This window comes from Homo sapiens, chromosome 6, assembly GCF_000001405.40.
Source record: "Homo sapiens chromosome 6, GRCh38.p14 Primary Assembly".
NCBI lineage: Eukaryota > Metazoa > Chordata > Mammalia > Primates > Hominidae > Homo > Homo sapiens.
Window position 1 is genome coordinate 159,709,188 of NC_000006.12, and position 22,717 is coordinate 159,731,904.

At 44.4% G+C, this 22,717-nt stretch overlaps 2 protein-coding genes and 2 pseudogenes across 12 annotated transcripts in view, besides 7 other annotated features; 1 reads left to right on the top strand and 3 right to left on the bottom strand.

Moving 5' to 3' along the window:
* Nucleotides 1–22,717, bottom strand: part of SOD2 (superoxide dismutase 2) — a 93,213-nt gene that overhangs the window by 40,119 nt on the left and 30,377 nt on the right. Inside the window, exon 1 of one of the 3 annotated variants that reach the window (NM_001322819.2) lies at nt 18,079–18,197. The gene's annotated coding sequence lies outside the window, so the exon portion shown is untranslated. Of the gene's footprint in view, nt 1–17,664; nt 17,764–18,078; nt 18,198–21,697; nt 21,779–22,717 lie in introns of those variants that run through there. The other 2 variants (NM_001322820.2, NM_001322817.2) reach the window with 2 other exon arrangements.
* Nucleotides 3,540–4,811, bottom strand: HNRNPH1P1 (heterogeneous nuclear ribonucleoprotein H1 pseudogene 1; annotated as a pseudogene).
* Nucleotides 11,228–11,353, bottom strand: RNU4ATAC18P (RNA, U4atac small nuclear 18, pseudogene; annotated as a pseudogene).
* WTAP (WT1 associated protein) overlaps nt 17,506–22,717 on the top strand; it is a 29,627-nt gene continuing 24,415 nt past the window's right edge. For 4 of the 9 annotated variants that reach the window (XM_047419578.1, NM_001270531.2, NM_152857.3 and 1 more), the window contains exon 1: nt 18,319–18,516. Coding sequence is in view for 2 of the 9 variants with exons in the window: in XM_017011514.3 (XP_016867003.1) it covers nt 17,624–17,666 (43 nt within the window). In the remaining 7 variants the exon portion in view is untranslated. Of the gene's footprint in view, nt 17,667–17,929; nt 18,147–18,318; nt 18,517–22,717 lie in introns of those variants that run through there. The other 5 variants (NM_004906.5, NM_152858.3, NM_001270532.2 and 2 more) reach the window with 2 other exon arrangements.
* Nucleotides 17,530–18,127: an enhancer, noted in NCBI's record as "H3K27ac hESC enhancer chr6:160147749-160148346 (GRCh37/hg19 assembly coordinates)". NCBI's record gives its function as "activates a minimal SCP1, AML or CMV promoter by ChIP-STARR-seq in primed H9 embryonic stem cells {active_cell/tissue: H9 hESC(primed)}" and the evidence as "EXISTENCE:reporter gene assay evidence [ECO:0000049][PMID:30033119]".
* Nucleotides 17,530–18,177: a biological region, named in NCBI's record as "H3K27ac hESC enhancer GRCh37_chr6:160147749-160148346".
* Nucleotides 17,608–17,697: an enhancer, noted in NCBI's record as "active region_25389". NCBI's record gives its function as "activates an Ori minimal core promoter by ATAC-STARR-seq in GM12878 lymphoblastoid cells {active_cell/tissue: GM12878}" and the evidence as "EXISTENCE:reporter gene assay evidence [ECO:0000049][PMID:35858748]".
* Nucleotides 18,048–18,177: an enhancer, noted in NCBI's record as "active region_25390". NCBI's record gives its function as "activates an Ori minimal core promoter by ATAC-STARR-seq in GM12878 lymphoblastoid cells {active_cell/tissue: GM12878}" and the evidence as "EXISTENCE:reporter gene assay evidence [ECO:0000049][PMID:35858748]".
* Nucleotides 18,128–18,725: an enhancer, noted in NCBI's record as "NANOG-H3K27ac-H3K4me1 hESC enhancer chr6:160148347-160148944 (GRCh37/hg19 assembly coordinates)". NCBI's record gives its function as "activates a minimal SCP1, AML or CMV promoter by ChIP-STARR-seq in primed H9 embryonic stem cells {active_cell/tissue: H9 hESC(primed)}" and the evidence as "EXISTENCE:reporter gene assay evidence [ECO:0000049][PMID:30033119]".
* Nucleotides 18,128–18,737: a biological region, named in NCBI's record as "NANOG-H3K27ac-H3K4me1 hESC enhancer GRCh37_chr6:160148347-160148944".
* Nucleotides 18,188–18,737: a silencer, noted in NCBI's record as "silent region_17753". NCBI's record gives its function as "represses an Ori minimal core promoter by ATAC-STARR-seq in GM12878 lymphoblastoid cells {active_cell/tissue: GM12878}" and the evidence as "EXISTENCE:reporter gene assay evidence [ECO:0000049][PMID:35858748]".

Genomic DNA, 22,717 nt, shown 5'->3' on the forward strand with positions numbered 1-22,717 from the left:
TTCAGGACATAGGCATGGGCAAGGACTTCATGACTAAAACACCAAAAGCAATGGCAACAAAAGCCAAAATTGACAGATGGGATCTAATTAACCTAAAGAGCTTCTGCACAGCAAAAAAAACTACCATTAGACTGAACAGGCAACCTACAAAATGGGAGAAAATTTTTGCAATCTACTCATCTGACAAAGGGCTAATATCCAGAATCTACAAAGAACTCAAACAAATTTACAAGAAAAAAACAAACAACCCCATCAAAAAGTGGGCAACGGATATGAACAGACACTCCCCAAAAGAAGACATTTATGCATCCAACAGACACATGAAAAAATGCTCACCATCACTGGCCATCAGAGAAATGCAAATCAAAAGCACAATGAGATATCATCTCACATCAGTAAGAATGGCAATCATTAAAAAGTCAGGAAACAACAGGTGCTGGAGAGGATGTGGAGAAATAGGAACACTTTTACACTGTTGGTGGGACTGTAAACTAGTTCAACCATTGTGGAAGACAGTGTGGCGATTCCTCAGGGATCTAGAACTAGAAATACCATTTGACCCAGCCATCCCATTACTAGGTATATACCCAAAGGAATATAAATCATGTTGCTATAAAGACACATTCACACGTATGTTTATTGCGGCACTACTCACAATAGCAAAGACCTGGAGCCAACCCAAATGTCCAACAATGATAGACTGGATTAAGAAAATGTGGCATATATACACCATGGAATACTATGCAGTCATAAAAAATGATGAGTTCATGTCCTTTGTAGGGACATGGATGACGCTGGAAACCATCATTCTCAGCAAACTATCGCAAGGACAAAAAACCAAACACCACATGTTCTCACTCATAGGTGGGAATTGAACAATTGAACTTGGACACAGGAAGAGGAACATCACACACTGGGGCCTGTTGTGGGGTGGGGGGAGGGGGGCGGGATAGCATTAGGAGATATACCTAATGTAAATGTCGAGTTAATGGGTGTAGTACACCAACATGGCACATGCATACATATGTAACAAACCTGCACGTTCGTTGTGCACATGTACCCTAGAACTTAAAGTATAAATACATATATATATATATATATAAAATACAAAAATTAGCTGGGCGTGGTGGCACGTGCCTATAGTCCCAGCTACTGGGAGGCTGAGGCAGGAGAAATCACTTGAACCTGGGAGGCAAAGTTGCAGTGAGCCAAGATCGTGCCACTGCACTCCAACCTGGCGACAGAGTTAGACTCTGTCTCAAAAAAAGAGGAAAAAGAAAGACGACAGAGAAGCTGACCAAGAGTGATCAGAATAAATTATATTTCTCATTTACCCATTATACGGGATATACTAGACATCCCTCCCATTCTATTCAACTCCCATAAGTGCACTGCTTTTATATCTGGAGTAGCTCTTTAGTGCTCCTTCTCTACCTAACCAAGCTTTGACTGACAGTCACTGGAGTTTTCCTCCAGAACGTGGTCATATCCCCTCATACTGCTCTGATCACCCTAACCACCTCCATAACCACCAGTCACACTGCTCTGACCACCATAACCACCACTCATACTGCTCTGACCTCCATAACCACCACTCAGCTGCTCTGACCTCCATAACCGCCTCCACAACCACCACTCACATTGCTCTGATCACCATAACCACCTCATAACCACCACTCAGCTGCTCTGACCTCCATAACCGCCTCGACAACCACCACTTACATTGCTCTGATCACCATAACCACCTCCATAACCACCACTCACACTGCTCTGACCTCCATAACCACCTCCATAACCACCACTCACACTGCTCTGACCTCCATAACCACCTCCATAACCACCACTCAACAGCTCTGATCACCATAACCGCCTCCACAACCACCACTCACATTGCTCTGATCACCATAACCACCTCCATAACCACCACTCACATTGCTCTGATCACCATAACCACCTCCATAACCACCACTCACATTGCTCTGATCACCATAACCACCTCCACAACCACCACTCACATTGCTCTGATCACCATAACCACCTCCACAACCACCACTCACATTGCTCTGATCACCATAACCACCTCCATAACCACCACTCACACTGCTCTGACCTCCATAACCACCTCCATAACCACCACTCACACTGCTCTGACCTCCATAACCACCTCCATAACCACCACTCAACAGCTCTGATCACCATAACCGCCTCCACAACCACCACTCACATTGCTCTGATCACCATAACCACCTCCATAACCACCACTCACATTGCTCTGATCACCATAACCACCTCCACAACCACCACTCACATTGCTCTGATCACCATAACCACCTCCATAACCACCACTCACATTGCTCTGATCACCATAACCACCTCCACAACCACCACTCACACTGCTCTGACCACCATAACCACCTCCATAACCACCACTCAGCTGCTCTGACCACCATAACCACCTCCAATACCACCACTCACATTGCTCTGATCACCATAACCACCTCCATAACCACCACTCACACTGCTCTGATCACCATAACCACCTCCACAACCACCACTCACATTGCTCTGATCACCATAACCACCTCCATAACCACCACTCACATTGCTCTGATCACCATAACCACCTCCATAACCACCACTCAGCTGCTCTGACCACCATAACCACCTCCATAACCACCAGTCACACTGCTCTGATCTCCATAACCACCACTCACATTGCTCTGATCACCATAACCACCTCCACAACCACCACTCACATTGCTCTGATCACCATAACCACCTCCATAACCACCACTCACACTGCTCAGACCTCCATAACCACCTCCATAACCACCACTCACACTGCTCAGACCTCCATAACCACCTCCATAACCACCACTCGGCTGCTCAGACCTCCATAACCACCTCCATAACCACCACTCAGCTGCTCAGACCTCCATAACCACCTCCATAACCACCACTCAGCTGCTCTGACCACCATAACCACCTCCACAACCACCACCCACATTGCTCTGATCACCATAACCACCTCCATAACCACCACTCACATTGCTCTGATCACCCTAACCACCTCCATAACCACCACTCACATTGCTCTGATCACCATAACCACCTCCATAACCACCACTCACACTGCTCTGATCACCCTAACCACCTCCATAACCACCACTCAGCTGCTCTGACCTCCATAACCACCTCCATAACCACCACTCACACTGCTCTGATCACCATAACCACCTCCATAACCACCACTCACACTGCTCAGACCTCCATAACCACCTCCATAACCACCACTCAGCTGCTCTGACCTCCATAACCACCTCCATAACCACCACTCACACTGCTCTGATCACCATAACCACCTCCATAACCACCACTCACACTACTCTGATCACCCTAACCGCCTCCACAACGACCACTCAGCTGCTCTGACCTCCATAACCACCTCCATAACCACCACTCACAATGCTCTGATCACCCTAACCACCTCCATAACCACGACTCAGCTGCTCTGACCTCCATAACCACCTCCATAACCACCACTCACACTACTCAGACCACCATAACCACCTCCACAACCACCACTCAGCTGCATAACTAGACTGGTTGGGTAAGCCCATCTCTCCCATCATTTGCCTACCATAAGCACCACCACTTGCCCCTGCTGTAGATTCAAGAAAAGTTCTACATAGGTGTGTTCATAAACCCCCCTACTTGTTCCTATAGCATTTAAAAAGGTCTCCCTGTACCTGTGCTGCATATTAGCTTTGTCTTTTGCCATAGCTGCCACTGCATCTTCGTGAGCAGCAAACTCAACATCTGCCCTACCAGTAAACTCTGTCATCGTGTCCAATTTCAATATGTACTCTCATGAGGTTAAGAGGTGAATAGAAATTATAACATTCTTAGTGGCTCTGTAAGGTAAACCCCTCGTGTGTACACAGTGCCCTGTGGTGCTCTGGAAACTGGACCCACTATCTCCGTATCTATGATCAGACATTCCTGAAAAACAGTAATTGCGGTCTTTTCCAAATCTATCAGACCTAAAGCCATATCCATCATTACAGCCACGATAGTCATCATAGCCTCTATACCCTCCACCATAGGGACCCTGCCTCATCTTTTCAAACCCAGCTCCTCTGCCAATGCTATTACACCTCAGCCAGCCCCTGGCCTATCACTGGGACCTGGCCACTGCACAGCCATGAGCTTCTGAGAGGGATCATAGTAGGTATGAACTTCAGCTTGGCTATTCTAGAAGATTTCAATGTACCTGTGCCCTATTCTTTCCCTGTGTTTCTTCAATGCCGTCTCAGCTATCTCCTGCGAAGCCAACTGCACAAAGGCTTCCCCTGTGCTTCTGCCCTGAAAGTCCACTCACAGTGTTATCCCATTTGGCACAATTTCCAACCCTGAAAAGAAATGAACAATCTCTTCCTTGGACAGCCAAATGGAAGTCCTCTAAGCCAGACGAAGCCATCGTTGGCAGTATCAGGACTATTCAGACCTGTGTGCTTCGATACCCAATCCATTTCAACACTATTAGACTTGAATACTTCAACGTATCTGTGTCCCATGGTTTCTCTGTCTTTAAAGCCAATTTCGCTTCATCTGCAGATTCAAGTTCAACAAATGCTTCACCACTTGGTCTGCCTTCTCCGGTGTAGATGAAACAAATACCTGATGTGCCATTTTGTATTTTGCAATCAGAGAAGTGCATCACTTCATCAGCTGAGCAGGACCAGGATAGGCCCTGGACCTTCACCACGAACCCCTCCCTGCCTTCCGTGCTCAGCATCGTGGCGACTGTTGAGCTCTTGGTGGCAAGTTTGGCGGAATGCAATTTTGGTGTAGTGGGCAATTATCCTCCTTCTGCCTTCAAATGGGCTATAGCAAGATGACAAGCAGAACTACTTCTGCTCACATAAGCAAGTGATCACATGAGCACACCGGCTTTACCTCTAATCTCTGCTGCCATCTGACTTCTCTGTGCCTCTGCTGTCCCATCTGTCACATAAGACTAATACAGGCCCTCACCTCCCTAGACGTCGGGTTGTGAGGACCAAAGAAACATCATCTCTGCCTATACCTTTTCCTCTATTCTTTTTTCCCTCCAGAAACCCAATGACCTTGGACTTCCCTGAGTCCCACACTGGCTGACATATTACATACGGATTCTTCCCTCCAAGGGAAGATAAGCCTAGCTTCCATCGGGAACAGACCCGCACATTCCATCAGTCCCTTCTCCTGACTGTACACTCCCTACTTCACTCCCCAGGCAGGGCCTGGGTAGTGAACTTTTAAGAACCAACACTGATTTGACTTCCACCAGCAGGCTCAGCAGCACAGCCTCTAGATGTTTTGCTCGTTTCATCGCCAGGCGGTACTCTTTCCCACGGTACTATAAAGCAATTCCTGTTTTTCACTTTGTTGAAAAGGTGTGCCAAATGACTGCAATTCTGTGTGCCCAGATTATGATAAGCCTACCCTGGTGTCCTGCCTAACTAATCACATCACAGCCCACTGGCATTTTCATCAGAAGCCTTTGCTTGAGTGGATGGGGGTAGGCTGCAGATTCTTCTCTGTTGTCTGGCTGGAGTAGAGCAGTTACTGTCTAAAGGTTTTCTGTCTTGGTAGACTGCCTCCTTTCTTGGACCTTTAGTTATACATAAGAGGCTTTTGCTGGTGGCTGTTTTTGTCTGTGCTTGTTGATGTGTACAGATTGCTGGCTTCTGGGATATATGAGGCAAAAATGAAACACAGGGAGTCATTCCTGTGTCAGTCCTTGGGTCCTGAAGTCCATAGCCAGTTTGCCTTTCAGTCTTCTTCTGCTTGTTTTACATATAATATTCAGGATTTTTAGCCATACTTGGTGAGAGGAACATGGAAAAGTATGTCTAGTCCATTTTCCCAGGAGTGGAAATTTCCCAGACTTGTGTTTAGAAAGGGCTTGTTGTGTAGGAGAGAGTTTGGATGGGAAGCAAAGATGGGTGGCAGAGGACCAATTGGGGGGCCACTGTTAGTCGACAAGAAAAGCTGAAGACCTGGATTGGCCAGTGGCACTGGGACCCAAATGAGTGGGATAGAGAAAACTATTTACAGGTTAAGAAAAACAGGGAAGAGCAACAAAAACATGTCTAACAGGAAGTCAGTGTGGTCAACAGTAGAACCATTGCTTAAGGCCCAGTGCTCTCCTCTGGCAGAAGAATGGATTTACAGTTTGTCAACAGTCACATAGTTTTTGAATGGACTGTCTCCTGTCCTAGTGGGTCTTTAATTTGTGGGGAACAAAAAACCGTCCTTTTAAAAACTGAAGAGATTTGACTGAAGGTTTGACCAAACAGGATCTTACCGTTGCATCCATAAGGTTAAACACTATTAGCAAGCAACAGAGGCAAACAGAATAGTATTTTGAAAAGTTCTGAATATAGGCCAGGCATGGTGGCTCACGCCTGTAATCTTAACACTTTGGGAGGTCAAGGTGGGAGAATCACTTGAGCCCAGGAGTTTGAGACCAGCCTGGCCAACATGGTGAGACTCCGTCTCCATAAAAAATGCAAAAATTAGCTGGGTATGGTAGTTCACACCTGTAGTCCCAGCTACCTGGGGGGCTGAGGTGGGAGTATCGCTTGAGCCCAGGAGGTGCAGGCTGCAGTGAACTGAGATGACACCACTGGTCTCCAGCCTGGGCAACAGAGCTAGACCCTGTCTCAAGGAAAAAAAAAAAAAAAAAGTTCTGAAAATAAAATCCTTCAAGACCCTTATATTTTTATTGTAGTTAGCTTTTTGTCTTATAAAAGTTTGGTTTTCTGGAAATGAATAATGACTTTTAAATTTTTGCTTTATTGTGAAACAAGGGCTATGGACATCATAATGTAAAAACAACAACAATAAAGCAAAGTGTCACAGAAAAACCTAGTTTTGCTGGCACCTCTCCATTTTATTTCACTTGCTGATCATGTAAATGCCCTTCCTCTCTAAGTTAGAATGTGTTTGGCTATGGGTAACAGGAATCCTGATGAACAGTGGTTTTAAATATAAGGACATATCTGTTTTACCTAATAAAAAGTACAAGAACTGGCAGTCCCTTGGTGAGTCTGGAAGATTAACAAGGTCATCCCGGACCCAGGGACTTTCCATTCTTGACTCTGAATTCCCAGCAGCCTGCTTTCATTTTCCAACTTGTTGCCTCATCGTCACAAGATGTTTCCTATAGGTGCAAGCAGCACAGCCTCTCACAGCCTAGTAAGAGACAACAAGGAAGGGAGGGGGAAAACATTTCACCTCATGTGCCTCTCCCCGGAAGGAAAATTTTTCTCAGAAGCCCCGAGAGATTTCCTCTGATCCCAGCCAGAACTGCTCAACTGGCCAACTCTGCCTGCAAGAAGACTGAGCACCATCACTATGTGGTAAAGACCATGACAGCCATGCTTGCCTTAGACCAGCAGTTCTCATCAAGGGCATGACGGGAGGGGGCAGTATTGAAAATATAGAAAGGGACACTTTCAGCTGTCACATATACAGAGAGGTGCTATTGGCATCTAGTGGGTTGGTGTGGGGATGCTAAATGTCCTAAAATGCACAAGATACTTTTCACACACACACAAATTGTCTTGTCCAAAATTCCAGTAGCACACTTGTTGAGAAACACTGGCTTACACCAGCCATAATTCATCTCCTGGCCTGAAGATACTATGACTCAAACACAATTTAGAAGTTCCTAGATTGTGCAAGAGGAGGAACATGGCTCCCAGTAGTGTGTGCCACAATACCCCAGCAGATGTTGGAAGGAGTACAGCAATGCCTAGTCATTCTGGCATGCTAAATCCTTTTCAGAAAGCTGCTATTATTTGTACTGAATGGGCAACTAGGAAAGAATTACAGGGATCAGGACAGGGAAATTACATGCAAAAGGTGCCTTTATTTTTCCTAATGAAGGGATTTTTTTCCAGTAGCTGGACAAGCCTGTTTCCGAGAATAATTGACTCTGAGCTACCCATACCTCTGTTACCTCTGTTGACCAACAGATGCTCCTTACTCCCACCAAGGAGTTCAGAATGTTTAAAACCTAACTCTATCTTTATTTTTTTACTATAATTATTTTAGAATTAGAGACAGGGTCTCGCTGTGTTGCCCAGGAGGGTCTTGAACTCCTGGGTTCAAGGACTTCTCCCACCTCAGTATCCCAAAGTTCTAGGCTTATAGGCATGAGCCACTGTGCCTAACCATAAAATTATTATTTTTATTTGACACATAATAACTGTACATATTCTGGAGTACACTGTGATATTTCCATACATGTATACAATGTGTAGTGATCAAATCAGGGTAATTGGCACATCTATCAATTCAAATATCTATTATTTCTTTGTGCTGAAAATATTCAAAATCTGCTCTTCTATTTGAAAATATACAATAAATTGTTTGTTATTATAGTTACCCAATGGTGCTGTAGAACACTAGCACTTATTCCTCCCATCTAGCTGTACTGTTGTATCTGTTAATAACCTCTGGCTGTCCCCTCCCTACCCCTACCCTTTCCAGTCTCTAGTAACCGCTATTCTACTCTCTACTTCCATGAGATCAACTTTTTTAGCTTTCACCTATCAGTGAGAACATGCAGTACTTCTCTTTCTGTGCTTGGCTTATTTCACTTAATATAATGTCCTCCTGTGGCTAAATAGTATTCATACATATATATGTATGGATATGTGTGTGTGTGTGTGTGTGTGTGTGTGTGTATATGTGTATATATATATACACTCACACATACACAATTTTTTTTTCTTTTTCTTTCTCTCTCCTTTTCTCTTTCTTTCTGGGATAGGGTCTCTCCCCTCTGTCACCCAGGCTGGAATGCAGAGGTGCATTCATAGCTCACTATAGCCTTGAACTCCTGGGCTCATGAAATCTTCTCACCTCAGCCTCCCAAGTAGCTGGGACTATAGGCGCACACCACCATGCCTGGCTAATTTTTATTTTTTTGTAGAGGTGGGGTCTCACTTTGTTGCCCAGGCTGGTCTCAAACCCTCCTTGAGCAATTCTCCCACTTCTAAATTCCCAGCCTCCTAAAGTGCTGGGATTACAGGTATAAGCCACCATGCCTGGTCATATATACCACATTTTCCTTATCCATTCATCTGTTGATGGACACTTAGGCTGAGTCTTTATCTTGGTTATTGTGAATGGTGCTTCAACATACATGGGAACGCAGATATCTCATCAACATATGAATTTCTGAAATAATATTTTAATAATAGTCTAGTAAAAATTATGATAACAATCTACTGAATTATTTTTTAAAAAAAACTTAGAATGTCAGAAGTCTTTGTGGTCTGCAGAGAAAATGAAGACTAAATGTTATAGCTTTAATTATAATTTTAAAAATCTAAATGTTCACTAAATCTGAAAGATTAGATATATTGGGTTATGTTGCATTGCTGCTCACAGTAAAATCTTGTAAGTCAGTATAAAATCCACTAGATTAGAAAAAGAAAAGTAGGCTAGGAAGTTTGGTTTGGCTTCCCTATCTGTAAAACCACAACTGTCTATGCTTGACACAAACTAAGGTAAATAAATAATGTGTCTTAGGCTAATTGCTAACTGTGAATAGGAGATAACCTGGCATAGAAGAGTAGAAAGAGCATTCCAGGCAGAAAGAATGGACTCAGCAGAGGTACTAACTGGTGAAACAGCATGACATGGTCATAGTCACACCAGACGTGAGCTCTTGAGAGCGTCGTGGATTAACATTAACATTTTTAACCAACAACTCTGATAATCTCTCCAGGATCCCTGGATTTCTGGGTGCCAATAACAAAAGCTAGACTTACTGTTTTTTTTTTCCTCTGTACTTCTGCAATAGATTGAATGTTTGCGTCCACCCAAAATTCATGTTGAAATCTTAACCCCTAATGTGGAGGTAGGTGGTGAGGCCCTTGGAAGGGGATTAGGTCATGAAGGTAGGGCCTTCATGAATGAGATCAGTGCCCTTATAAAAGGGACCCCATAGAGCTCTCTTTTCCTGTTTTCACCACATAAGAGATAAGAGAAGTCGGCTGGCATGGTAACCCATGCCTATAATCCCAGCACTTTGGGAGGCAGAGGCAGGTGGATCACGAGGTCAGGAGTTCAAGACCAGCCTGGCCAACATGGTGAAACTCTGTCTTTACTATGTCTCTACTCATGTCTCTAGCTGAGTACGGTGGCATGTGCCTGTAATCCCAGCTACTCAGGCTGCTGAGGTGGGAAAATCGCTTGAACCAAGGAGGCGGAGGTTGCAGTGAGCCGAGATCGGGAGAGGTGGCTTGTGCTTGTGGTCGCAGCTACTGGAGAGGCTGAGACAGGAGGATCACCTGGGCAAAGGAGGTGGAGTCTGCAGTGAGCCAAGATCATGCTACCTCACTCCAGCCTGGGCAACAGAGCAACACCCTTTCTCAAAAAAAAAAAAAAAAAAAAGTTGCAGGCTAAGTATTAGGCTGATGGCAAAGAAGTGGCCAATTCACTTAATCTAACTCAGTATTATGGTTTTTTCTTTTATTTTCTTTTTTTTTTTTGAGAGAGTCTTATTCTGTCCCCCAGGTTGGAGTGCAGTCACGCGATCTTGGCTCACTGCAACCTCCACCTCCCGGGTTCAAGAGAGTCTCCTGCCTCAGCCTCCCAAGTAGTTGGATTACAAATGTGTGCCACCATACCCGGCTAATTTTTGTATTTTTTAGCAGAGACAGGGTTTCACCATGTTGGCTAGGCTGGTCTCGAACTCCCGACCTCAAGTGATCTGCCTGCCTCGGTCTCCCAAAGTCCTGGGATTACAGGCATGAGACACCATGCCCAGCCTTGCTTTTTTTTTTTTTTGGTGGGGGGGACAGAGTCTCACTCCGTCTCCCAGGCTGGAGTGCAGTGGCACGATCTCAGCTCATTGCAACCTCTGCCTCCCGGGTTCAAGCGAATCTCCTGTCTCATCCTCCGGAGTAGCTGGGATTACAGACGCCCGCCACCACGCCCGGCTAATTTTTTTGTGTATATATAAATATATATTTTTTTAGCAAAGACAGAGTTTCACCATGTTGGCCAGGCTGGTCACGAATCTTGACCTCAAATGATCCGCCCACCTCGGCCTCCTAGAGTGCTGGGATTACAGGCGTAAGCCACCGTGCCCAGCCTGTATGTACTTTTTAATACAGTAATATGTAAATAACTGTGTGTGTATGGGAAAGCTGTTTTTCATTTCTCCAAAAACTGCACCAAGGCAAAGCAAAGCTCTAGTTGATTTCGGTGTGTTGTGCAGGAGTTAGCAGTACTGCCCTCACTAGGTACCCATTGGACAGTAGTGCAACCCCAAGAAAAGGATGGTAGTAAGTTAACTTTCATCACGCGTTGATATTTCATTTGAAATGGTGACTTGAAGCTGGTTAGATACTGAAACTGAGACTATAGTATGCCTAACTCAGCTGCTCAATAACTATTTATTGCTTATAGTCTTACGACTTTTTTTTTAGAATAATTATCTTTGCTAGTACTATCAGATTTGCATGACAACCCTTTCTCTTGTATTCTCTGTAAACTGGAGGTTGTCCCACTATTACTGATACTAAATTTGATGGTTTGGTTCAAATGGTGACCACCAGATGGCTCCACTATACAGGTGTATTTTCTTTACCTTTTTTTTTTTTTTTTTTTTTTTTTTTGAGACAGTGTCTTGTTGTGTCGCCCAGGCTGTAGTGCAATGGCGCGATCTCGGCTCAGTGCAACCTCTGCTCCTGGGTTCAAGTGATTCTCCTGCCTCAGCCTCCCAAGGAGCTGGGACTACAGGCACATGCCACTGCACCCGACTATTTTTTTTTTGTATTTTTATTTTTATTTAATTTTTATTTATTTATATTTTTTAATTTTTTTTTTGAGACGGAGTCTCGCTCTGTCACCCAGGCTGGAGTGCAATGGCACAATCTCAGCTCGCTGCAAGCTCTGCCTCCTGGGTTCATGCCATTCTCCTGCCTCAGCCTCCCGAGTAGCTGGGACCACTGGTGACCACCACCACGCCTGGCTAATTTTTTGTATTTTTAGTAGAGATGGGGTTTCACCATGTTAGCCAGGATGGTCTCAATCTCCTGACCTCGTGATCTGCCCGCCTCGGCCTCCCAAAGTGCTGGGATTACAGGCATGAGCCACCGTGCCCAGCCGTTTTATTTATTTATTTTTGAGACGGAGTTTTGCTCTCATTGCCCAGGCTGGAGTGCAATGGTGCGATCTTGGCTCACCACAACCTCCATCTCCTGGGTTCAAGCAATTCTCCTGCCTCAGCCTCCTGAGTAGCTGGGATTACAGGCATGTGCCACCATGCCCGGCTAATTTTGTATTTTTAGTAGAGACGGGGTTTCTCCACGTTGGTCAGGCTGGTCTCGAACTCCCAACCTCAGGTGATCTGCCTGCCTTGGCCTCCCAAAGTGCTGGGATTACAGGATTACAGGCATGAGCCACTGCGGCTGACCTTTTTTTTTTTTTTTTTTTTTTTTGTATTTTTAGTAGAGATGGGGTTTCACTATGTTGCCAGGTTGGTCTTGAACTCCTGACCTCATGATCTGCTAGCCTCGGCCTCCCAAAGTGCTGGGATTACAGGCGTAAGCCACCACACCCAGCCTGTAATTTCTTTTACAATTAGGTAAGTAGCCTGTAGAGTGATACTTTGATGGCATTTCCCAGCAATCTTTCATCTAAAGGTTTTGAAGTCCATTGATAGTCCTTGTCTGAGTCAATTATTTCATTAAGGTTTGCATCATGGTTATTGTCTAATTCTATATTTTATTTTATACTTATTAGCTGGCATCCTATAGTAAAGAAGAGTTTTTCCTCATCAACTGGGTATAAACCACATTCTTTATTAAAAAAAAAAAGAAAAAAAAAGCAGGGTAGGTTGGGAGCAGTGGCCCATGCCTGTACTCCCAGCGCTTTGGGAGGTTGAGGTGGGAGCATCACTTGAGCCCAGGAGTTCAAGACCAGCCTGGGCAACATAGCAAGACCCCATCTCTAAAAAAACAAAAAAGCAAGCAAAAACACTTAGCCAGGTATGGTGGCAGGCACCTGTAGTCCCAGCTTCTGACGAGGCACGAGGATCACTTGAGCCCAGGAGGTCAAGACTGCAGTGAGCCATGTTTGTGCCACTGCACTCCAGCCTGGATGACAGAGCAAGACTCTGTCTTAAAAACAAAAACAAATGAAACAAAAAACAAACAGGGTAAATGCTATCTCCCTTTAATAACTAATTTTCAGAGTATCAAATTGGTGTAATAGACACTACCAATGATGGAAAAATAGTTTCCCTCTTCTCATTCTCTCTTCTCTGTACTAGAGAGTAGACTTTTATTTATTCAGTATTTGCAATCAATTGTATTCATTTTCTTTTTGACGCTAAAATTGCCCTAAATTTGCCCCCTGGGAGATCCTTCAAGCTGGCTCCCATGTCTCTAAAATTTATTTTTGAGAGACTGAAAATACAAATGGTAAATGGCCAGAATATACATAAAAACAGAATTCTGACCCATTACCTACAACAACTAGCCCAGTAAACCAACCACTTATTTACCATAAGTGTACTCTCAGCCTGAAAGCCAAACCTGCTATCAACCAGACTTGTAGGAAGTCAGACTGCTATCTCTGGTAGCAATCCAGGAAGCTAAATAATAACTTCTATGACAATCAGCTCAAAATGGCCAGGACTTGATTAAAACTTGACAGCTTCCCTACTTTTTGTCCTCACTTCTAGCTTATGCCCATCCAGAGAAAGCCAAATATGCTCCTTTAACCAAGACCATAGGATGCCAACTTGTAGTTAGCTTCCAGCTTCCCCATGCCAACAGCTTCCAATCAGGCATACCTGTGAAACCTTTCCTTTTGTCCACTGTAAAGCTTTCCCACTCCTCTGCATGCCTTTGAACCTCTGCTAAAACATAAGGGATGGTGGCTGACTCCCTTGCTACAGCAAGTTCTCAATCGACTTTGCTTTTCTCATTTGGTTTGCAATAAAATGCATTCTTTACAGTGACACAATTTGATGAATTTTGACAAACGTATACATTCCCACTAACCATGACACAGAACATTTCCATCACCCCCAAAAGTTCTCCCATTTTCCTTTCCAGTCAATTCCTTCTCTCTTCCCCTCCTAACCAACCACTGATCTGCTATCTACCACTATGGATTAGTGTTGTTTGTTCTCCTAACTACAGTTGGCATAGCCTCATTGGTCTAAGCACTTCCTCTGCATTCAGGCACAACGAAATACCTGGCTCATCTTGTACCTTTCCCGTCCCAGAGCTGGAATCAGCCAGTTCTCCAAAGGAGCTCTGGATCTTTTTAGTGGGAAATGGAATTTAGAAACCAAGATCTCAGTGTCAGATGTGCTCACTGTTACTGTAGGGTGCCCATGCCTATACATCCTGGTTCAGCCAGGACTGTTCCAGTTTTAATCTGAAAGTCCAGCATCCAGAGAAAACCCCTCTGTTTGTGGCAAACTAGAACAACTGGTCACCCTAGTGCTTCTAGGCCCTTTCAGTCCACAGAACTAGGACTTTTTTTTGCAGTTGAAACTTTTTTTTCTTTTTGATAGGGTCTGTTGCCCAAGCTGTAGTGCACTGGTGAGATCACAGCTCATTGTAACTTTAAACTCCTGGGCTCATTTGGGCCTCTCGCCTCAGCCTCCCAAGTAGCTAGGACTATAGGCACAGGCCACCACCCCTGGCTATTTTATTATTTTGTATTTTGTAGAGACAAGATCTCACTGTGTTGCCCAGGCTGGTCTTGAACTCCTAAGCCACTTTGGCTTCCCAAAGCACTGGGATTACAGGTGTGTGCCACTGCACCCAGCCCTCCAGTTTAAACTCAATACTACAGACTTTTTTTTTCTGAACTTCTTAAAATTCTTTATATTAGTTTCCACCCCCACCCCCGGATGAATGAACGTCTTAAAAATTGTTTTAAATTTTTTAAAAAATGGAGACAGGGTCTTGCTATGTTGCCCAGGCTGGTCTCAAACTCCTGGACTCTAGTGATCCTCCCGCTTTGGCCTATCAAAGTGCTGGGATTACAGGCATCAGCCACCCGGCCCTTTTCTGAACTTCTTTGATCTTGTGTTTGTATCTCATTCTCTCACACACTGCACATCTTTGTATATAGTAACATTAAAATACTTATGTTATCCTACCATATACAGTACAGAGTTTTAAAACCACAGTAACAATGTTACCATTAATCATAAATCAGTGAAGCTGAAAGCTCCTGTGCACTTTTTTCATCCTTAGAATACACAGTTGACCCTTGAACAACACTGGTTTGGACTGCCAGGGTCCACCTATATGTGGATTTTTTTCACCCCAACACAGATGAAAAATACAGTGGGGCGAGGGACGGTGGCTCACACCTATAATCCCAGCATTTTGGGAGGCTAGGTGGGAGGATCACTTGAGCCCAGGAGTTCAAGACCAGCCTAGGCAACACAGCTCTCTACTGAAAATAGAAAAAAATTAGCTAGATGTGCTGGCACATGCCTGTGGTCCCAGCTACTCGGGAGGCTGAGATGGGAGGATTGCTTGAGCCCAGGAAGTCAAGGCTGTAGTGAGCCATGATCGTACCACTGCACTCCAGCCTGGACGACAGAGTCAGACCCTGTTCTCAAAAAAGAAAAAAAAAAAGAAAAGCAAGAGAAGGGAAGGAAGGGAGGGGGGAAGAGAGGGAGGGAGGGAAGAAGGGAGGGAAGAAGAGAGGGAGAGAAAGAAAAAAAGAAAAGAAAAAGAAAGGAAAGGGAAGGAAGGAAGAAAACAAAACAGAAGTACAGTGGGATGCAAAACACACCTACACAAAGAACCAACTTTCCCTATGCTCAGCTCCGGGACTTTAGTATGCAGATTTCTGTATATGCTCGCAGAAGGTCCTAAATCCAATCTCCTGCATATAAGGAAAGACTACACTATCACAACACAGATACACTACTAGAGTACTGTGTTCAAAAGCTCAGAGGGGCCAGTGGTGGTGGTTCATTCCTGTAATCCCAGCACTTTGGGAGGCCAACCTGCAGGCGGATCACCTGAGGTCAGGAGTTCCAGACCAGCCTGGCCAACATGGTGAAATCCCATCTCTATTAAAAATACAAAAATCAGCAGGGGATGGTGGCGCATGCCTGTAATCCCAGCTATTCAGGAGGCTGAGCTGAGAGAATCGCTTGAACCCAGGAGACAGAGGTTGCAGTGAGCTGAGATTGCACCACTGCACTCCAGCCTGGGCAACACAGTGAGACTGTCTCAAAAAAAAAAAAAAAAACCCAAAGAATAATTATTTTTTCTGTGTATCTTAGTTATATTAGTTAACAGTTAAGTTCATTTGTTTCAATTTGCTTTCAACCTTAGGATTTACTTTGTTTCCTTTTTTATTTACTTTTTTGGCTATGTAAAACTAAAAGTTCAAAGACAGAGAAATCTTGTCTCCACCCCCCACTCTTTATAGGCAACTAAAAATGTTAAGTTTCCAGGATATCCTTCCAATTCCTCCCCGAAAATAAGCATATACACATAAATATTCATATTAAATATAAATATATATTTTTATGTATTTAAGTAAATACATAAAAGCATATATGCTTATTTTTGCTTTTGAATACAGTGAATACTTACTACACTTAAATATTTAAGTGAATACTTAATACAACCTGAGACTCATTCCAAAGCAACACACGATTATTTCCTGAATCTTTTTAATGGTTGCATTGTGTTCTACTGTATGGATGCACCATTCCCAATCAGTTCCCTATTAACGGATATTTGGGTTATCCCTAACTTTTGCTATGACAAATAGCACTGCAATAACCTTGTATACCTATTGTTTCCATGTGTGGAGCTGCACCTTCAGAATAAGGTTAGGGTTAGAAGTATAACTGCAAGGTATAAGAATAAACACAAGTAATTTTGTACTCCGTGGAACTTGAACCATTTTTCCACTCCCACCAGGAAAGGTAATTTCAACGTGTATTTCCATTGTAAGTGAGGTGGAGCGACTTTCTATGTTTAAAGACCATTACGGTATTTTTTCTGAGAATCATCTGTTCATGTCCTTCCCCATTTTCTCCTTTGGCTTTTGCACTTTTTGTTTTCAATTTTTGAGAGCTCTTGTGATACGAGTTGCAAAGATTTTCTCCAGACCGATCTGATTCACTGGAAATATACTACGACCATCTGGAATGTACTTTAATCTTATCCTAATAAATCACCTTACTACAAGACACTCCTTTGGGGATGAACAGGTTTGATAAAGCCGGCTAAGGACAGACCAATCAAAAGAATTACGTGCTCTTCTAGTAAGTGTTTAGAGACTGTTTCACGTTCTCCAGGTAACACCGCCATTACTCGGCGGTCCAGATGGCAGTCTTACTTCAGGGAGTCTACTCCACTTGCAGGACCTCTTTGATTGAGTTCACTAAACCTCACAGGGCCGCCTTCCCCGTGTTCCAGTTAGCAAGGGGCCCTCAACGCCGCGGACACAGCGCAACCTCCGACGCCAGAGAACAATAGCTCCTCGATGCGTCTCCAGAGATGTCAAGGAGGAACGAACCCAGCGGCCAGGAGACTGCGCCTCACGACTGATGAGAGGGAAGGCATCGGTTTCTAAGTTCTCAAAACTTACAGGTGAGCTTCTGCTAAGAGTAAACGCCCGCGGCTCGCCGCCCACGGCCTCTCTCTTGAGGTGGCACCTGGTCCTCCGACACGCGGAAGCATCACGGATGAGCGTCACGAACACAGAGCGGCCAATCACGCGCCGCCTTCGCCCAGATCCCTCCGCACGAGGCAGCCCCGCAGCCGCAGGTGGCCCCGGCGAGTACTTCCACCTTCCCTTCCCGTGATGCCCTGGGGCTGACCTCCGACCTCGCTGGCCCGCCCCTCCCCTCGGCCGCTTCCCTTACTGAGCTTGCTGAGCTCCGGGGCCCGCGGAGCTCGCGCCAGGCTCCTGGGAAAGGACGGGGAGTGTTACCGGGGAGCAGCTGCTCCATTGTGCCTCGAGGCCCCGATCGGGCTAGGCCGACGGCCTCCCTCCCTTCACCTTTCCTCTCCTGGCGGGGTTCGGCGGCGGGCGAGTGACTGCGGCCACGCCTGAAAGGCGACTCTCCTGTGAGTGGGCCAGAAGGCGAACATGGCGGAGCGGGGAGGCTGGCGGGAGGCGGGAGGCGGGAGGCGGGAGGCAGTGGCGCTGGCCTGCGGCGCGTTCGGACCGGCTGTGGGGCGGGGCAGGGCGGAGCGGAGCCGTGCGGCGGGGCGGGGCCGGGCGGCGGGGCCTGGTTTCCTCCCTCAGCGCCATTTTGTGGCAGCGAGACCCACAAATAAAGGGGAGCGCAGGGGTTGCGGCGGGACTAGGAGCGCGGCGGGGCCGGCGGCAGAGCTGTCCGGCTGCGCGGTGGCCCGGGGGGCCCGGGCGGCAGGGCAAGCAGCGCGGCCTCGGCCTATGCGACCGGTGGCGCCGGCGCGGCTTCTGCCTGGAGAGGTAGGCGCGGGCCGGCTGGCGGGAGCGGACGCGGGGGACCTCCGGGGCCTGAGGGCTGATGCGCAGCCGCCCCCGGCGGGTAAGGGGCGGGCAGGGCCCGAAAGGCCACACGGGCCTGGTGCGGCACCGGTCTCTCGTGAGCCGCTCTACCTTCCCGCCTGCGGGGAACACTTCCGCCGCTTCGAGGCCATTTTATCTCTGTCCTCCGTCCCCAAGGCCCGGGTTGAGAGGGGTGCTCTGGCGGCCGGAGAGACCGGCCACTCACGGAGGCCGGAGGATGCCCTCCCCGGGCTGAGCGGCGGCGCTCGTTTTTTCCTCGCCTCGGGGTCGCCCCCTTCACCTCCCTTGGGCCTCTCCTGAGGACCTGGCGGCACTAACGAGTTCAGCAAGGAAAAAAAGAAACATTCGTTCCCTACATTTCATGTCACGCAGTAGGATGTTACTACGTTCTCTTGTAGACTTCCATTTTTAAATGAGTATAAGCATTCTGAGGAAAGAAACTGAATTATTGCAGATTTTTGTGAAATCCAAGTCTTACCTTGGATCCCTGTGAGACAGTTACTAGATTTTTTTTTCACCGTTTTTCATAAGTCTGTGTACACGTAATGGAAAAGCCCGAGTTCTTGTTTTGATAAGAAAGTCACTTGGTTGTTTGATCCCAAAGGATTAGCTTAACATTATCAAGGACTAGCATAACTGTGATTATGTAAAAAAAACAAAACAAAACAAAAAAACTATTATTTAGTCTGGTAGGGAAATACTTCTATGAGTATGTTACAATTGGAAGTTGTATTTGTGCCTATTTTATCTAGTTTTAGTTAATTCCATTGCTTCGGAAGATAAGTGGACGTCATAGATCCATCGCAAGTTCTCGTTTTTTGGATTTTAAAATTTTGACCATTAAGTTTTCTACGATAGATAAACATGTTGTGGACATTTAAAACCGTAATTTAAAACTATGAGCGAAAAATCTTTTCAAGATGGATACATTTTAATTCATTCAAGTAGCATCTGATTAGCCAAGTCGGGGAAAGATTGCAGTCCGCAAAGCTGGCTTGTGATAAGGTTGAGGTTACATTTTAAGGGTTTGGGTAGGTGTGTTTCTTACAGTGCTTTTATATGTTAAGGTATCTTAAGCAGACACATGGTTTAAAAGTTCAGTATTTTTAGTACTTTTTCATTGGCAGAATTTGGACAAGCTACCAGAATTGCTAACTCCTAAAGGATAAAAGTAATAATAATAGTGTGTCCCAGGCACTGCTTATTTTTACATGGCTCTTTTATGTCTAGCTTTTCCAATTCAACGTTGAGTCATGTTTGCTGAAAATATTTTTGTGTATTGTTTGTCAGAAATAAGCTGGTAGAGATGAAACACAATGTGTAAAAAGCCCTGTGATGTGGAGATGAGCATTGTCACAATTTGTACAGTACATTAAAGCGTTCAAGGTCTCTTATGGTCTTGTATGTAGTATTGAATCCCCTTGAATATATTGTTTAGCAGTTTTGATCATTATGTATTTGCTTCTTGCTCCTCAAAATTGTACGTTAGTTAGTAGGTCCTTCAGCAAAAGAAGACTGAAGATAGTATTTTGGTTTTATTCTTGTTTTTAATTTTTTTAGTTGTCTCCAACTTTTCTGCCTCTAAATATTTTGCTTCTTGTAGTTACTAAGCTTAACACAGAAAAACTTTTCAGTATCTCCACAATAGTAAACTTCATTGTGTATTGTGTATAACAAGATGTTCCATCTGACTAAAATATATTGCTGTAAATATTTTCTGCCTTTGAAGATGTAGTTAATAGAATTTAATCTTTTCTAAGTGCACATTGAAGTTGCCTTTTATGTTCATATTATGTTCATATTTTATTTGAAAAATCTATAGCATTTTTATTGTGCTGAAAGCATTAATATTTGCAGCACTTTGTGAGACAGGCAAAATTATCTTTTTGCTGACTTGGAAACTGCAAGAGTTAAAAGACTTGCTTGGAATCACACATGGCAGATAGAGGATAAGGAAAAGATGGCCTTTCAGTTCCTCATCAGTACCTTGCTACTACAGTGTCTGCAGATTGGTGTCTTACATTCAGCTATGATTTGTTCGCCAAGGTACCGTGTCTTCTTACTGAAGTTGTTTTGGCTGGCGCTTGCCTCCGTTCAGAGGGAACTGAGTTACCTAACTTTATGATGCTAAGAGCCAGGAAGGTACTGGGATCTGGGATGCTAGGCACCTAACCAGTCTAGACTGAACTCCATACTAAGCTGTTTTTCTGTGTTAAGGCATCAAGAGTAGATGGTGGTCCTGATTTTCTGAGATATATTATCTCTGAATTATCTACATAAATAACTGAAACTTTTATGTAATTTTAAAACTAGTCAATCATGTTACCACCCTTTTGAGGGGCACCAAATTTGAGACCCTTACCCCCAATTTATTAATTAATAGCTGTTTTAATCACCTAATAGCTGATCACCTAATGACTAACAGTCATTTTCATCCTGGAAAATGGGAACTAACTTTGACTTTGAAAAGTGCTGTTATTAAATGTGTGATTCATAAGAACTGAACATATTTTCTTTATTATTTTCCTTCAGGATTCAACTTTAATTGACTCCAAATGATGTTATGGTCATTCTGTTTTTCTGATACGAGAATAGATTGTTCTGAGAACCTAGAATATTCATTGCCTTTATGAATCTAGAATTGACTTTAAATTTAGGTTATTGTGTTTGTCATTTGCGCTAAAAAAAAAATTGCCCTGGGGAATACCAAACTTCTCGGTACATTCGTGTGGTGTGAAAGTCAAAATTGCCAATTAGGTTCTATTTTGACCAAATAGTTGAATGTTGTAGACAGTTGTAAATTTTGAACCTGTTCTAATTTGCCTTTTGCCAGATGGCGCATTTAACTTTGTGGCATATCATCGACTTTCAAGGAAAGATTTACTTTTCATCAGATTAAAGTTGAGGAAGGATTTTCTTTCTAAATACTGAGGCTCTGAATTTCCCAAGTTGGATACCCCAGACAGCTAGAGTGATCTTAAAAGTGACTCTGAGAGTTGACTTAGGAAGTGTAGACATTTATCCAAAATCTGTATTTACTCCTGACTTACATTACAAATACAGAGTTTTATTTTTAAAGAAAATTTCAATAAAAAGCACCATTTAATTAAAATCTACTCACCATCAAACTTTTTAAAAAGAACATAAGCCAATGTCAGGAGTTGGAGACCAGCCTGGCCAACATAGTGAAACGCTGTCTCTACTAGAAAAAAAAAAGAAATACAAAAATTAGCTGGGCATGGTGGTGCGTGCCTGTAGTTCCAGCTCCTTGGGAGGCTGAGGCAGTAGAATCGCTTGAACCCGGGAGGCGGAGGTTGCAGTGAGCCCAGATCATGCCCGTGCACTCCAGCCTGGGCAACAGAGAGAGACTACGTCTCAAAAAAAAGAAAAAAAGAAAAGAAATTTCAATAATTGCAGGCTGGGCATGGTGGCTCACAACTGTAGTCCCAGCACTTTTGGAGGCCCAAGCAGGAGGATTCCTGAGCCCAGGAGTTCAAGACCAGCCTGGGCAACATAGCAAGACCTCATCTCTACTACCAAGAAAAAAAAAACAAATTAGCTGGGCGTGGTGGTTCATGCCTGTGATCCCAGCTACAAAGGAGGCTGAGGCAAGAGGATCAGTTGAGCCCAAGAGATGGAGGCTGCAGTGAGCTGTGATCGAGTCACTGCACTCCAGCCTGGGCGACAGAGTGAGACTCTGTCTCAAAAAAAGAGAGGAAAAAAAGAAAATTTAAGTAACTTCTGTTTAGAATCCTAAATATTGGAGATGCCAAAGAATTCTGCAGTAAGTGTTAGAAACAGTCGGGAGGACAGTATGATTATTATCCTCAACCTGTGGATTATCTCTTCAGGTTTTTCAAGAAACACTGAGTCTGTGTTTTTGATGGGGAGAAGAAACTATTAATTAAATGCCCATTTTGTGCCAGTTACCATGCTAAAGATTAATGTCTGTCTTCAGAAATAGCACAGTATTTGGGCCCTGGTTGTGGTAATTCTTTTTGAGATGGGGAAACTGAGGTGCAGAGATTTTGCTACTTTTGTATTTGCAAAGTTGACAACCTGTTTCAGAATACCAAGGTTATCAGAACTTTCTTCATGTGTTTCTCAGTCCTTTTAATGCCCTTTAAAAACAGATTATCAT